The sequence below is a fragment of the Homo sapiens genome, chromosome 22 (assembly GCF_000001405.40).
Source record: "Homo sapiens chromosome 22, GRCh38.p14 Primary Assembly".
NCBI lineage: Eukaryota > Metazoa > Chordata > Mammalia > Primates > Hominidae > Homo > Homo sapiens.
In genome coordinates this window covers 30,787,547-30,804,021 of record NC_000022.11, presented here as the reverse complement: position 1 = coordinate 30,804,021, position 16,475 = coordinate 30,787,547, and the positions used below count along the sequence as shown (strand labels likewise).

At 46.9% G+C, this 16,475-nt stretch overlaps 1 protein-coding gene across 4 annotated transcripts in view, besides 1 other annotated feature; it reads right to left on the bottom strand.

The window, feature by feature from the left end:
- OSBP2 (oxysterol binding protein 2) overlaps positions 1-16,475 on the bottom strand; it is a 214,032-nt gene that overhangs the window by 103,792 nt on the left and 93,765 nt on the right. The window lies entirely within an intron of this gene.
- Positions 1,078-1,177: a silencer, noted in NCBI's record as "silent region_13619". NCBI's record gives its function as "represses an Ori minimal core promoter by ATAC-STARR-seq in GM12878 lymphoblastoid cells {active_cell/tissue: GM12878}" and the evidence as "EXISTENCE:reporter gene assay evidence [ECO:0000049][PMID:35858748]".

Genomic DNA, 16,475 nt, shown 5'->3' with positions numbered 1-16,475 from the left:
CTTCAGTAGATGGCTCAAGGCAGAAGGGGGGCAGCTGTAGGGGCTGAGGAAGCCCAGAGCTCCTCTGGCTGGGTAGTTGCCCAGCGTGACCCTGAACTGCTTACTCAGAGGCACAGGCTGGCTGGAGAAGGGCTTTTCCTGTGACAGGCACCACTGGAGTTTAAAATCCCTTTTGCTTGCTGGGAACACCACACACACACATACACACACACACACCCCACTGGCAGGCAGTGCCTGCCCAGTATCCACTCCAGAGCTCCTCTGCCTGAGTCCAGCTCACTTATAACAGCCAGGTGCACTGAAGTGACCCTCGCCCCGAAGCCCTGATCATGGCAGCTCAGGTGCCTACGGAGACTGGAAGGAGGCAGGGAAAGGGCTCTACTTCTCGCTTGTAGCCCCAGTGAAGGCTGAAGCTTGCCTTCCCCTGCTAAAAGATGGCTGGCCTCTGTCTGGGCTGAATTCCAGTGGCTAGGTTGCTCGGGGCCAGGCCTCTGAACAGAGACCAGAGACGGGAAGCTGTCCCCCCTGTGGCACCAGCCTGGGCAAACAGCTTTTCCTGGTACCTTGTTGTGGGCTGCACCCAAGGTGGAGAGGAGGACATGCCTTGTGACTGTCTGGCTTCTGGCTAAACCCTTTGTCCCCTGGCTTGTGAGGGCAGAGGGGCCTGCCCTCTATCCCAGGACTGGGAAAGTGCTGAGGCATAGCTCTGAGCCCTCAGCCCTGAAAGCTGCTCAAGATCTGGGCTGGAAGAAATTTACAACGGGGAAGGGAAATTTTAAAGCCCAAGAGATCCCATGCCCCAGGACCCGTCCACCCCATCCCTCTTCCGCCCGCCCTGACTCACCCCAGGGAGGGGCTCTCGGGTGTGGACGTGGGTCCTGCCCCGAGGCTGCGAGGGCTCTTGCAGCTGCTGCTGCTGCCGCCGCCGCCGCCGCCTTCCCGCCGCCGCGCTCTCAGTCCATCTGGGTGCAGTGCCGGCTGCCACCGCCTCTCCGAGCCTGGGAGGAGGGCGGTCCCGGGATTGGGTGTGTGCTGCCCGGCGGCTCCGGGTCCGCCTCCCTGCCGCGGGCGCCGCTTCAGCACCGCGGACAGCGTCCAGCCCGCGAGCTCAGAGAGCAGCCGGACCTAGAGGAGCCGTGCGCCCGCTCCGCCCGCCCGCCCGTCAGCCTGAGCGCTGCAAGGGCGCGCCGTGCTGCGTCCTCATTCCTCCAGCCTCCTCCCCACCGCCCGAGGAGGCTCCCTCCGCCCCCTGGAGCACTGCTCGGAGAGCGATGAGAGCCGCGCGAGGCCACCGATCGGTCCCCGGAGGATCCGGCACGCCTCAGCCAGCCTTGTCCCAGGCTGGGATTAGCCTTCTTCTCTCGCCCAGAGGGCTAGATAAAGGCGAGCTCTCCGTGGCGGGACGCAGGCGGGCAGCGGAAGGCGCACCTCAGCCTCTTAAAATGCCCGAGCGTGGCCTGGAACCCGACACGACACTAAGGGCGCTATCGCGCCCCAATCGAGGCTGGAGAGGGCCGGCCCTTTGCCTGGACCCAGCAGGGGAGGGGCCCTCGGATGGTCCACGGCTCCAGCCCTCATTTCTCCAGTCACACGCTACCCGAGGTTGCAAGGAGTGATCCAGTTACAGGCGAGTCTATCTCGGGAACTAGGGGAGATGCGGTCCCATCCCCACTTGGAATCCAATTCCCTCTCCCAGCACCAACCAACAGACGGGACTGCTAGAGCCTGATGACATCTCGCAGAACCGCTTCCACATTCTATTCAAATCCCTCCCACGCCTCCTCCTCCCCAGCCAGGAAAGTCCCTGGGGGGTCATTGATTCTGACTTGGCTTCTGCCACAGACCAGCAACATGACCCAGGCCACCTGAGCCTCAGTTTCTCCTCTGAAACATGAGGGTGGGGTGGGGCTCCTTCTGGTTCCAGGCTCTGCCTACTTCATGGCCTCCCTCACGCCTTTCTGGAGTCCAAGATGAGGATACCCTACCTTCACGGAACTAAATAGGAAACTCCTGTCATTCATTCATTCATTCATTCTATTTATGTACAGACAGGGTCTTGCTCTGTTGCCCAGGCTGGAGTTCAGTGACATGATCATAGCTCACTGCAGCCTGGAACTCCTGGGCTCAAGTGATCCTCCTACCTCAACCTCCTAAATAGCTAGGTCCACAAGTGTGCACCACCATATCTAGCTAGGATTTTTTTTTGTTGTTGTTGAAATGGGGTCTTGCTGTGTTGTCCAAGCTGTTCTCAAACTCCTGGCCTCAAGTGACTCTGCTGTCTCAGCCTCCCCAAAGCACTGAGATTACAGGTATAAGCCACCGCCCCAGCCCTGCCTAATTCTTTTTAAAGCAACCACAACTTTTTAATGCCACATTAATTCAAATCCAAAGACACCTTGATTTTTACCATTTGGTGAGCTCCCGCTTTGAAGGAGAAAGATCGAATAGAATGCATTCAAGTTGAGGTTAATAATTGCTGTCCAAGCAGGCATAGAAGACTCTGCTCAAACATTCACTGACCACGGCTGCTACAAAAAGATCATGGAGCCAAAACATTTATGAAGGGCATAGGTGGAACAGGAGTGGGCATTTATCATTTAGGAAGTGTGCTAGGAAGGAGGCAAGGGTTCCTTCAGATTTCACATCAAAGAAAGGAAGCACATGCCACATATGGTACCTTAAAAAAATAAACAAAACCACTACCTCTACTTGAAAATTACTTCCAAGAGCTTATTTTTCTTTCTTCTCTTTTTTATTAAGTAACATACTGTCAAAACTCAATGACAAGAAACAAATCAGTAATCACGAGCACCAGGTTACATGGGCTTCCTGTTGCAATGGTTGCAGGTATTAAATGTGGGGACAGGGTACACAATCACCTCCCAAACACCCAATGTTTGCCAAGTGGACAAGTCTTTATGCATTTCCTCATTTGGAATGGAATTCCTGGAAGGTCTTATGACAGAAGGTTTCTTCAATTTAACTCCGTTAATAGTCTAATTTATAAAACATTCAGAATTCACCAGCATGTCTATAACCCCACCTTCCAGAAGACGAGCGAGGAACCCAGAGAAGCCAATTTCTAAACACACTCACACAGAGACAGACAGACACACACACACCATTAAAACAAAGCTTAGAATTTCCACTGACATGCCCACAAATTGAAGACCCCAAAAGATTCAGGGTTTGGAACCAACACAAACAACCCAAGCCACACAGCAAGATTTTAAATCACAGTTCAGTTACTCCATTCTTTTCTGGGTTCTGGAAAAGCCAAAGAACTGGAATACATACCACTGATTCTCACACACAAAGGCCGGAAGACACTACTGCCCCAGGTTGTCTTCTACCTTCTGCCCCACGGCTCCGGCCCTACTCTTTGACCTTGCCACTACACATGCTCATTCTGGCAGGCGGACTGTGACTTCCATTGCTGCTGACAATGAGTAAACCACCCCCAACCTGCCTGGAATGCCACCTGTATCACCAATGTTGCTGTCAAATCTAAAGCAAATCCCCCGTCCGCCCTCCCAGCCCAGCTGTGCTTTGCTCTCTCAGGTGTTCTCTGAAGACAGAAGCATGTCCATGGCTCATGCCTTCCTCCTCCCTCACAACCAGCCAGCCTGCCCCAGGTTCCACCAGTGCTTCCTTGGCTCACCATTTCCTTCTGACACTTCGGGAGGCCTGGACCCAGCCCTCCTCCTCTCTCCTTGGTCCCACATGGCAGCCTCTTCCCTGGGTCCCTGCCCCCTCTCGTAAGCTCCTCCAGAAAATCTATGAGTTCTTGCCTTCTGGTTTTGTGAGGGGCCTGTCAGCTCCCAGCAAAGTGTCCACAATACCACTAAGAGGGGCTTAATAGCTCTTGAATGAGCAAACCCAGCCAGGAAATACCAAGAATGGCATAATTTTAAATCTGCTTTGGAATTTTGTCTAATTCATATTCCCCGTTGCCCCTATTCTCACCCCCAACCCAGCCTCTGCCAAGACAACCCTTGGGACGGTAGCCTAGCCCAGGTCTGTCTTACTGGTAGGCATGACGGAAAGAGGCTCTAGGTTGCTAAAAATTTCAAAGATCAAGTTCCTTGCTGTAGGCAATAAAGACAAATGTGCACTGGGAAGGCATTCTGTAGTAGGTTATTACATAGCTATATTCAGGACCCTTTCAAACTCTGCAAACTAAATGTCAGGGCAAATAGAAACCCACAAAACAGGTGGCCTATTCTTGCCACAGTAATGCTTCAAAATACAGGAGCTGCCAGTGATGGACTGCTCCACAGGAGTGGTGAAGAGGATGGGTAAGCCACACACATTTTCTGCAGAATGAAAAAGGCATTTGCCACTTCTATCGAAATAGTAACTGAGATAACACTCTTCTAGGAGCAAAGCAAACTAACAACTAGCTTTTAAAAGCATCAGATGTGGAGTCAGGCCTAGGATGTACTTTCAGCTCTGTCACTACGAAACCCAGGGCAAGTTGCCCTTTGTCTTTGGGCCTCAGTTTCCTCATCTGTAATAAGAAGGCATTGAATTAACTACTGCCTGCAGTATCTTTCAGCCCTAAAACTCCAATGGCTCTTCAGAAACAAACCCTTGCAGGCTGGGCGTGGCGGCTCACGCCTGTAATCCCAGCACTTTGGGAGGCCAAGCCGGGCAGATCACTTGAGGCCAGGGGTTTTTCAAGACCAGCTTGGTCTCGAAGACCAAGACATGGTGAGACCCTGTCTCTATTAAAAATACAAAAATTAGCTGGGTGTGGTGGTGGGCGCCTGTAGTCCCAGCTACTTGGGAGGCTGAGGCAGGAGGATGGCCTCAACCTGGGAGGCAGAGGCTGCAGTGAGCTGAGATTGCACCGCTGCACTCCAGCCTGGGCGACACAGTGAGACCCTATCTCAAAAGAGAAAGAAAGGAAGGAAGGAAGGAAGGAAGGAAGGAAGGAAGGAAGGAAGGAAGGAAGGAAGGAAACCTTTGCATGTATAGTCAAATAATTTCTTTTTTTTTTTTTTTTGAGACAGAGTCTCACTCTGTCACCCAGGCTGGAGTGCAATGGCACAATCTCAACTCACTGAAACCTCCGCCTCCTGGGTTCAAATGATTGTTCCACCTCAGCCTCTCAAGTAGCTGGGACTACAGACGTGTGCCACCATGCCCAGCTAAAGTTTGTATTTTTTAGTACAGACAAGGTTTCACCATGTTGGCCAGGCTGGTCTTGAACTCCTGACCTCAGGTGATCTGCCTGCCTTGGCCTCCCAAAGTGCTGGGATTACAGGTGTGAGCCACCATGCCCAGCTGATCAAATGACTTCTGACAAGTGTGCCAAGACCATTCAGTAGGTAAAAAATAGTCTTTTCAACAAATGTTGCTGTGAAAAGTGTGTATCCACATACTGAAGAATGAAATCAAACCTTTACCTAACACCATATACAGAAATTAACTCAAAAGGATCAAAGACTGAAATGTGAGAGCTGAAACTATAAAACAGTTATAAGCAAAACCTTAGTGCAAAAGCTTCACAACATTGGAATTGGCAAACATTTCTTGGGTATGATACCAAAGGTACAGACGATAACAAAAATAGACAAAATGGACTTCGTGAAAATTAAAAAATTTATGCCTCCAAGGACACTATCAACAGAGTAAAAACAAAACCACAGGATGTGAGAAAATATTTGCAAATCATATATATGGTAAGGGATTAATATACAGAATACAGAACTCCTAAAACTCAACAACAAAAAACCCAATCCGATTCAAAAATGGGCAAAGGACTTTAGTAGACATTTATCCAAAGAAGATACACAAATGGCCAATACGTACATGAAAAGATGCTTGGCTTCATTAATCATTAGGAAAATGCAAATCAAAAGCACAATGAGATACCACCTTACACCCACTAGGACGGCTACCATCTAAAAAACTGAAAATAACAAGTGTTGGCAAGGATGTGGAGAATTTAAAACTCAGCGTTGGTGGGAATATAAAATGGTTGAGCAGCTGCTGTGGAAAATAGGGTGGAGGTTCCTCAAAATATTAAAAATAGGATTATTATTATGACCCAGCAATTCCACTTCTGGGCATATACCAGGGTCTCAAAGAGATACGTGTACACCAATATCCATAGCAGCATTGGCTGGGTATGGTGGCTCACACCTGTAATCCTAGCACTTTGGGAGACCAAGGTGGGTGGATTGCTTGAGCTCAGGAGTTTGAGACCAGTCTGGGCAACATGGCAAAACCCCATCTCTCTACGAAAAGTACAAAGATTAGCCAGGCATGGTGGCTGGCGCCTGTAGTCCTAGTTACTCAGGAGGCTGAGGTGGGAGAATCACCTGAACCCGGGAGGTTGAGGCTGCAGTGAGCCTTGATTGTGCCACTGCACTCCAGCCTGGGTGAGAGCCTGTCTAAAAAAAAAAAAAAATTAGTTAAATAAAAATAAATAGGGCCAGGTGTGGTGGCTCACGATTATAATCCCAGCACTTTGGGAGGCCGAGGTGGGCTGATCGCGAGGTCAGGAGTTTGAGACCAGCCTGGCCAACATGGTGAAACCCCGTCTCTACTAAAGATACAAAAAATTAACTGGGTGTGGTGGCACATGCCTGTAATCCCAGCTACTCGAGAGGCTGAGGCAGGAGAATCGCTTGAAGCCAGGAGGCGGAGTTTGCAGTGAGCCAAGATTGTGCCACTGCACTCCAGCCTGGGTGACAGGGCGGAGACTTTGTCTCAAAAAAAATAAAATAATAAATAAATAAACATAGCAGCATTGCTCACAATAGCTAAAACATGGAAGACACAAAATGTAGTCTATCCATACAGTGGAATACTGGTTAGCCTTAAAAAGGAAGGAAATTCTATCATATGCTACAGCATGGAAAAACCTGGAAGACATTATGCTAAGGGAAATAGATCAGACACAAAAAGATAAATACCATATGATTCCACTTATATGAGGTACCTAGAATAGTCAAATCCAAACAGACAGAAAGTAGAATGGTGGGAGCCAGGGGCTAAAGGGAGTGAGGAATGGGGAGTTACTGTTTCATGGGTCAAGAGTTTTGGAAAATGAAAGGAGTTCAGGAGATGGATAGGTGGATTATTGCTGGTCATGGATGCACAACAACACTAATATATTTAATGCCACTGAACATTACACTTAAAAGTGGTTAATATGGTAAACGTTATGATATGTGTATTTTGCTACAACAAAAACAAATTTTGGCTGGGTGCCGTGGCTCACGCCTGTAATCCCAGCACTTTGGGAGGCTAAGGTGGGTGGATCACTTGAGGTCAGGAGTTCGAGACCAACCTGGTCAACATGGTGAACCCCCCTGTCTCTACTAAAAATATAAAAATTAGCTGGGCTTGGTGGCATGAGCCTGTAATCCCAGCTACTAGGGAGGCTGAGACATGAAAATCTCTTGAACCTGGGAGGTGGAGGTTGCAGTAAACTGAGATCGTATCACTGCACTCCAGCCTGGGCGACAGAGTAAGAACCTGTTTCAAATAAATAAATAAATAAATAATTAAAAAAAATTAAACCCAATGGTTCTTATCTAAAGCACATATATTAACAAAGAATAGAAGATAATTTAAAATAACATAGGGTAGTAGAGTTTAATATCAAAATTATTTCCCTTGTAAATATATTTATGTTTACAATGTTCTAAAACTTGAGATTCATAAGGAGTAAAAGCAAGAAAAACAAATTCAACCCTGAGCATCATCCTTGTGTCCTTGGTTAACCAAGGGGCCCTCAGTGAGGTCGATCCAGCCCAGGAGATCAGCATTTCCCTCAGCAGTCACCAAGAAGCTATATCCACATAAAGCCAGGGCCTTGTGTGACTCTCCTCCTAGATCCTAGGAAGTTCTCAAAGACTCAATGCCTTCCTTGCATGAAGCCCATGGCAGTTAGGGCAATCAGAGAAAATACTACAGAAGAGAAATGTAAACTTTCAAAAATACAGATGGCTGAAATGTCAAGAACCAGTGAGAGAAACCACTTGGCATATCTAGGGTGTTCAAAGCAGCTTGACTGGCAAGGAGCCAACTTGAAAATAATTATGGTTAATAAGTTTTTAAAAAAGGAAAGATAAAGGACAAAATGGATGAATACATGGAGCATTTCAACAGAATTGGAAATCTATACAAATAATCAAATAGACATTCCAAGATTTAAAAACATATCTGAAGCTAAGAATGCACTGGAGGCTGGGCAGGGTGGCTCATGCCTGTAATCCCAGCACTTTGGGAGGCCAAGGCAGGCGGATCACCTGAGGTCGGGAGTTTGAGATCAGCCTGACCAACATGGAGAAACCCCATCTCTACTAAAAATACAAAATTAGCTGGGCGTGGTGGCGCATGCCTGTAATCCCAGCTACTTGGGAGGCTGAGACAGGAGAATTGCTTGAACCTGGGAGGCGGAGGTTGTGGTGAGCCGAGATCATACCATTGCACTACAGCCTGGGCAACAAGAGTGAAACTCCATCTCAAAAAAAAAAAAAAAAAATGCATTGGATAGGTTTAACGGCAGAATGGATAAAAAGAATGGAAAAGATAGAAGAGTGCATAAAGACATGTGGTTCAAAAAGTCTAATATACATGTAATTTGTGTCCCATAAGAGGAAGAGAGAAGAGAGAACAGGTTCAGAAGCAGTTTTGGACGAAATAAAGGTGATGAATTTTTCCCAAATATGGTGAAAGACATTAACCCACAGATTCAAGAAGCTCAATGAGACCCAAAAAGGAGAAACAAAACAAAATCTTACCTATACACATCATAGTCAAAGCCCTGAAGACCAAAGATAGAAAATCTTAGGTCAGGCCCAGTGGCTTACACCTGTAACCCCAGCACTTTGGGAGGCTGAGGCAGGAGGATTACTTGAGCTCAGGTGCTCAAGACCAGCCTGGGAAGACGATGAGATCCCATCTCTACAAAAAAATTTAAAACATCACCTGGGTGCAGTGGTGTGTACCTGTAGTCCCAGCTACTTGGGAGGCTGAGGCAGGGGAATCACTTGAACTGGGAGGTGGAGGTTGCAGTGAGCAGAGATTGCGCCACTGCACTCCAGCCTGGGTGACAGAGCGAGACTCTGTCTCAAAAAAAAAAAAAAGTAGTTATATAAATATTGATTGCTTAAAACAATAACAATTATGCTTTGTGGAATGTATACATGTATGAATAAAACATAAAATAACAATAATACGAAAAGTAACGGGAATTTTTTTTTTTTGAGACGGTCTCACTGTGTTGCCCAGGCTGGAGTGCAGTGATGCAATCTCGGCTCACTGCAACTTCCACCTCCCGGGTTTAGGTGATCCTTCCACCTCAGCCTCCTGGAAGATATTTAACTGTTGTTAGCTTCTTAAATTGTCTGGGAAGTAGCAAATTAATAACTTAAAGTAGATTATAATATATCAAATATTCATATTATAATCTCCTTCATTAAAAAAAGAAGGTACAGGGTGGGCGTGGTGGCTCACGCCTGTAATCCCAGCACTTTGGGAGGCTGAGGCGGGCGGATCACTCGAGGTCAGGAGTTCAAGACCAGCCTGACCAACATGGTGAAACCCTGTCTCTACTAAAAATATAAAAATTAGTCGGACATGATGTCGGGCGCCTGTCATCTCAGCTACTCAGGAGGCTGAGGCAGGAGAATCACTGGAACCCACCGGGAGGCGGAGGTTGCAATGAGTCGAGATCGTGCCACTGCACCCCAGCCTAGGCGACAGAGTGAGACTCCGTCTCAAAAAAAAAAAAAAAAATGAATAGAGGAGGAGAGAATAAGATAATTTTATTTATTTTTTAAATTATTAAAAAACATTTTTTTTAGAGACCAGGTCTCACTATGTTGCCCAGGCTGGTCTTGAACTCCTGGGCTCAAGTGATCTTCCTGCCTTGGCCTCCCAAAGTGCTTGGATTATAGGCGTGAGCCACCATGCCTGGCTTGAAGTAATTTTTAAGTGCTTGCTTAATAATTTTAAAAATGAGATAGAAGGATGTCCATGTTATGGCATGTGTCAGAATTTCCTTCCTTTTAAAAGCTGAATAATATTCCAGTGTATGGATGTACCACATTTTGTTTATCCATTCATCATAAATGAACACTTGGGTTGCATCCACCTTTGGGCTACTGTGAATAATGCTGTATGAACATGGGTGTACAACTTAGACCACTTTTTCTTAGAGATAGGGTCTTACTCTGTAGTCCAGACTGGAATGCAGTGGTGCAACCATAGCTCACTGCAGCCTCAAACTCCTGGGCTCAGCCTCCCAAATGACTAGGACTATAGGTGTGCACCACCACGTGGGTCTAATTTTTTATTTTTTTATTTTTTGAGACAAGGTCTGGCTCTGGGACTATAGGAGCATACCACCATGCCTAGTTAATTTTTGTATTTTTTTGCAGAGATGGGGTTTTGTCATGTTGCCCAGGCTGGTCTTGAACTGGTAAGCTCAAGTGATCCTCCCACCTTGGCCTCCCAAAGTGTTGGGATTACAGGCATGAGTCACCGTGCACAGCCTAGTTTTTTTGTAGAGATGTTTGTTACCCAGGTTGGTCTTGAACTCCTGTCCTCAAGCAATCGTCCAGCCTCAGCCTCCCAAAGTGCTGGGATTACTGGTGTGAACCAGTGTACCCAGACCTAAATCCTCTTTTTTCCCAGGCTGGAGTGCAGTGGTGTGATCTCAGCTCACTGCAACCTCCACCTCCTGAGTTCAAGTGATTCTCCTGCCTCAGCCTCCTGAGTAGCTGGGATTACAGGCACCTGCCACCACACCTGGCTAGTTTTTGTATTTTTAGTAGAGATGGGTTTTCACCATGTTGACCAGGCTGGTCTTGAACTCCTGACCTCAAGTGATCCGCCCACCTTAGCCTCCCAAAGTGTTGGGATTACAGGCGTGAGCCACCGCACCCGGCTCCTAAATCCTTTTTCAAGTCAACCTTTTAGCTGAACTACAATCTAATTTACTCTTATCTTCAGTTTTGAGACAATGTGGTGGACTGGATGGAGCAGAAAACCTGGAATCAGATAGTCTTGGATTAAAATCCAGGCTCTGCCATTTACTAACTCAGTGATTGTGGACAAGTCACTTGGAAGATGACCCATAATGCATGTAAACATGCCAGGCACACAGTAGGCACACATAGTGGTGATTATTAACATTACTCACATGAGCTCAGACCACCTCCCCAGTGTTAGGCTGGCTGGGGAATATGAGAGACTGTGGCCCTCACAGTGCTGGTGTGGAAGACCGGAGGCTTGTGCTTTTCATAGGGTTCACTTTCTCCCGAAGAGACAAGACAAACCAAAACTTGTAAGAGCTGCCAATCAACTTTTATCTCTATAAAACATGTTGCCAACCAATGATAATTGGCCGAAGAGTACAGTTCATTTTGCTTGAGAATATTACTTCTATTCATCTGACTTTAATTGCCATATGCTGGTGGCAAGACCAGATTATGAATGATTCATGCATAGACACAATGACTAATTAAACCCTAAAGAGACTATTCATTAAAAAGTATAAATGCAAACTTTTTACCCGTGGGCCTGTAAGTAGATGTCTGCAGGAAGCATTTACAGGAAGGTTTATAACCTCAGTTTCTTCTGTAAACAATACTGCAGATGGTGGATGAAAAAAATACTTGTATTCATAAACTATTTCTTATCATGCAAACCATAGTGATTGATAATTCTTTTTTTTTTTTTGAGACAGTAGAGTCTCGCTCTGTCGCCCAGGCTGGAGTGCAGTGGTGCGATCTCAATTCACTGCAAGCTCCACCTCCCGAGTTCAAGCAATTCTCCTGCCTTAGCCTCCTGAGTAGGTGGGATTACAGGCATGTGCCACCACACCTGGCTAATGTTTCGTATTTTTAGTAGAAACGGGGTTTCACCATGTTGGCTAGGCTGATCTTGAACTCCTGACCTCCAGTGATCCACCCATCTCAGCCTCCCAAAGTGCTGGGATTACAGGCATGAGCCACTGCACCTGGCCTGATTGAAACTTCTGTATGCGGTTCCTAAATACTTTGTTTTTTCCTGTTTTGATTATGATATTTTATCATAATCTCTCTGACTCTATATATTTGGTAATACTTATCTATATACCCATTGAGTGATAATAATCTGTATACCCACTGATGTGGGGGCAGAATAAGAGGGTTCTTAAACCATTTATTATAAAGGCTCCTGAAATCCCCACTGGCCTGGGTCTAGCCCTGAGAGATGATGATGACCTTCCTATCTTGCAGCTCTTCCTAGCTAAGACACTCTTCCATTCAACAATTCATTTTTCTCTATCCGCAAAGCAGAATTAAGATTGACAATGTATTTCACAAAACTGTGGCACGGATACATTAAAGAGACAGGACTGATTTTATTTAGAATGCCCCAATATGAGCGGGGCACGGTGGCTCTCGCCTGTAATCCCAGCACTTTGGGAGGCCGAGGCGGGCGGATCACTTCAGGTCAGGAGTTTGAGACCAGCCTGGCCAACATGGTGAAACTGTGTCTCTACTAAAAACACAAAAATTAGCCAGGTTTGGGGGCACACGCCTGTAATCCCAGCTACTCGGGAAGCTGAGGCACAAGAATCGCTTGAACCTGGGAGGTGGAGGTTGCAGTGAGCCGAGATCACACAACTGCACTCCAGCCTGGATGACAGAGCCAGACTCTGTCAAAAAAAAAAAAAAAAAAAAAAAAAGAAGAATCCCCCAATATATAAGCTCCTGCAGCCTGAAAAAGAGATGTGTTGGCTGGGCATGGTGGCTCACACCTGTAATCCCAACAGTGTGGGAGGCCTAGGCGGGTGGATCACATGAGGTCAGGAGTTCAAGATCATGGCCAACATGGTGAAACCCCGTCTCTTCTAAAAATACAAAATTAGCTGGGCATGGTGGTGGGCACTCAGCTACTTGGGAGGCTGAGGCAGGAGAATCATTTGAACCCAGGAGGCGGAAGTTGCCGTGAGCCGAGATCACACCACTGCACTCCAGCCTGGGTGACAAAACAAGAGAGAAACTCTGTCTCAAAAATAAATAAATAAATAAAAAATGAAAGAAAAATAAAAAGAGAAGTTTGAAACAGGGATCACATTGGCCTTGACTGTCCAAATCCTTCCAAGCAAGGAATTTAAAAACCAACAAATGAATCCTATTTCCCCTTCAGGGCAACCACGTGATTCGATGAAGCAAACATAGAGATACGGGAAGGAATATCCCTTAACGGATTTTTAAATTGTTCATCCAAAAGCTTATTGGTCCTGAAATGACCCTTAACCACATTTGTCAGTGGATTCTCAGTAAATTACCACATATCAAAAAAATTTCCTTTAACCTATAAAGTATGCTCCCTCTTTTTTTTTTTTTTTTTAATGCAGTTTGACATATCTCTTCAGGTTTGCTTTTGCATCTGGCTTACAGTCTTGCTGAAAAACTGCCTGGAAGCTACAGACACATGAGCAAGCAGCAGTAGAAACTGCCTTGGAGCAACCACATGTGTGTGCGCACACACACAATCTCTCCAAGTGCAGCTACCAAACTGAAGTCTCCTTGAATTCCCAAGACTAATGAGGAGCCTCTGGCTTTGTCCTCTTTCCCATGCCCCTCCAAATCCATCACGGATCATGTGTATGGAAACTAGAAGAGTGGCCAAAACCTCTACAAACTGGCTGATGTAGTTTCAAGCTGTCAAATCTTTTCTATGCTTTCCCCGCCCCCCCCTCCTTAAAAAGTGGGTCCACAGCAGTGCCATGTATTTTCATGTGGCTGCAGATTCAAAGTCTTTCCTGAACCCGGAATCCCTGTAGGCCAGGGCCAAAGGTGAAGCTTGAGAGGGCACAAAGAATAAGCCCTGTGCGTCATCCACATCACCTCCAGCCCAAGACACCCACACCCAATGGGCCACTCCAACAAAACCCATCTGCTGACCCAAGGGGCTGCATCCTCCTTCTGCAGCCCAGTCACCTTGTAGCACGGAGATGGGGTCACCCTCTCCCCTTGCACATTGCTTCTTTCAGATGATAGCCATTGTCACATGTATAGAGGGGTACACAAGAAACAACACATGTTTTCACCGAGATTCACATTCCTCTTACCCTCAAAGAGCATGGCACAAAATAAAATTAAACTGTGATCTAAAATGGGAACAAAGTTTTTACTGGTGGAAGATGCAAAGCTGTTGCAGACAAAGAATCTCAAGGGCAGACCCTCCTTCTTAGAGAGCATTTCTCCCTGCCTGTGCTCTTGGGGCTGGAATTGAAGTCTGTCCACCTTCTGGTCACTGGTACTGCCTTCTGGAAAGTCTGCACCCAAACCATCTCCAGCTAAACCATTTTCTTCCCTCTTAGGGTCCTCCAACAGCCTTGGAAGCCTAAAGAAATGCTTGTTCCAATGGGTGATCCATACACAGCTGTACCGGACTGTCCGTAGGCTCTTCCCGTTTTTTTCTGATTTTTATATGCTCTGTAAGTTAACTTCTCTTTTACAAGTATCTGAGTTTATGGGGTCAATGACGAGGAAATCACTCATTCACTTGTGTTAGCTGCAGGCTCCTGGAAATGGTGGAAAATTTGAACTTGTGTAGAGAAAGCAGACCGGAGCCCACTTCTAAAAGACAGCAGATTTCATGGCCTATGAAATCCTGGCTTCTGAATGCCCAGAGAATGTGGCCCCCACTTGCTTGCCAGATTCAGGCCCCCTCTCTCTTGTCAAGGTTGGACTTCTTCCCAGATCCTCTCTCCTACAACCTCGAGGCTGCATCTCAGAGACAACACAGTGAAGCCTCTGAGAGCCGTTGAGCACTGAAGTTCTTCTAAGAGGATGCAACAAAACTTTCACCACTCAGCACCAGGAGCAAGCATTTCCTATTCATCTGTTCCTGCAGGGACATGGTCTCCGAGATGGTCAACTGACTCTCCAGACATACTATAAATGGGCTAATGCCGAGTAATTTTTTTGCCCTTTCATGTCATCACATGTAGATTTCTCCAAAGCTATTAAAAATAAATTGTTTGGCCAGGTGTGGTGGCTCACGCTTGTAATCTCAGCACTTTGCGAGGCTGAGATGGGCGGATCACCTGAGGTCAGGAGTTTGAGACTAGTCTGGCCAACATGGCGAAACCCCAACTCTACTAAAAACACAAAAATTAGCCGGGTGTGGTGGCAGGCGCCTGTAATCCCAGCTACTCGGAAGGCTGAGGCAGGAGAATCGCTTGAACCCGGGAGGCAGAGGTTGCAGTGAGCTGAGATGGTGCCACTGCACTCCAGCCTGGGTGACAGAGCAAGACTCCATCTCAAAAATAAATAAATAAATAAAATTGTTCACCCTCCAAGATGCCCTGACTTAAAAGTCAACATGTACAACTTATTAATTAACACAGTCCTTGGCATTAGAGACTCATTATGCTGGAGCTACGGTGATAATCTAATTTTTCATGAAAGGACACATGTAATTGTGGGAGCTCTGCATGTCTAGGCCACAGCAAAATCATTTTGTGCTCCTTTTTGTATCTGTCAGATTAAATCATATGAGAGGCCTTGGCTGGTCTGTCAGCTGCCCCAGAGCTCATTCTGGCTGTTTGACTGAGGGCTCTGAGTGAAAGCTCCCCACGTTGCAAATGGCTGGCCTCTCTCTACTGCTGGATTCTCCTTGGAGGAAAATCTTCCATGGGAACTGGGTAGGATTCTGTGTTGCTTTGGCAGCAACTGCAGAATGATTAACATGGCACTGGGGAAACTGTATATAAAAGGATATGGTAGCACTCCCGTCCTCTTCCTCTTCCTACTCAGCAGGAGAAGACGCTTTGCAGCTGATCAAACTGTCCCCACCATCACCATCACTGTCACTTGTACTGAGGCCATATGGACCAGGTATGGCGCTGACACTTCACACATCCTCACAACAGCCCTAGTTTTCAAATAAAGGAACTGAAGATGGGGGAGGTTATTTGTTCTAGGTTACATGGCTGGTAAATGACATGATTGAGACCCCAGTCCTGTTCAGTTAAGCCCAGACATGGAGCTTGGCTCTGCCTACTGAAGCGCTCTCAGTCTCCATGCTTCTGTCCTTTCCCACTGTCAAGACCCTCCGACACTACCGTCTGTCACTAAGACCCACGGGCCCCTCGGCCACTGTCCTGCCTTGCTCCGAGAGTACCAGGCTCCAGCTAACACCCCTCCAAGGTTCTTTTGATACTCGAGAGCCAGTGGTGATATGGTTTGGCTTTGTGTCCCCACCCAAATCTCATCTTCAATTGTAATCCCATAATCCCCATGGTGGGAGGGACTCTGTGGAAGGTAACTGAATCATGGGGGCAGTTCCCCTATGCTATTCTTTTTTTTCTTTTTTCTTTTTAGACAGAGTATCCTTCTGTTACCCAGGCTGGAGTGCAGTGGCACGATCTCAGCTCACCAAAACCTCCACCTCCCGGGTTCAAGTGATTCTCATGCTTCAGCCTCCCGATTCGCTGGGATTACAGG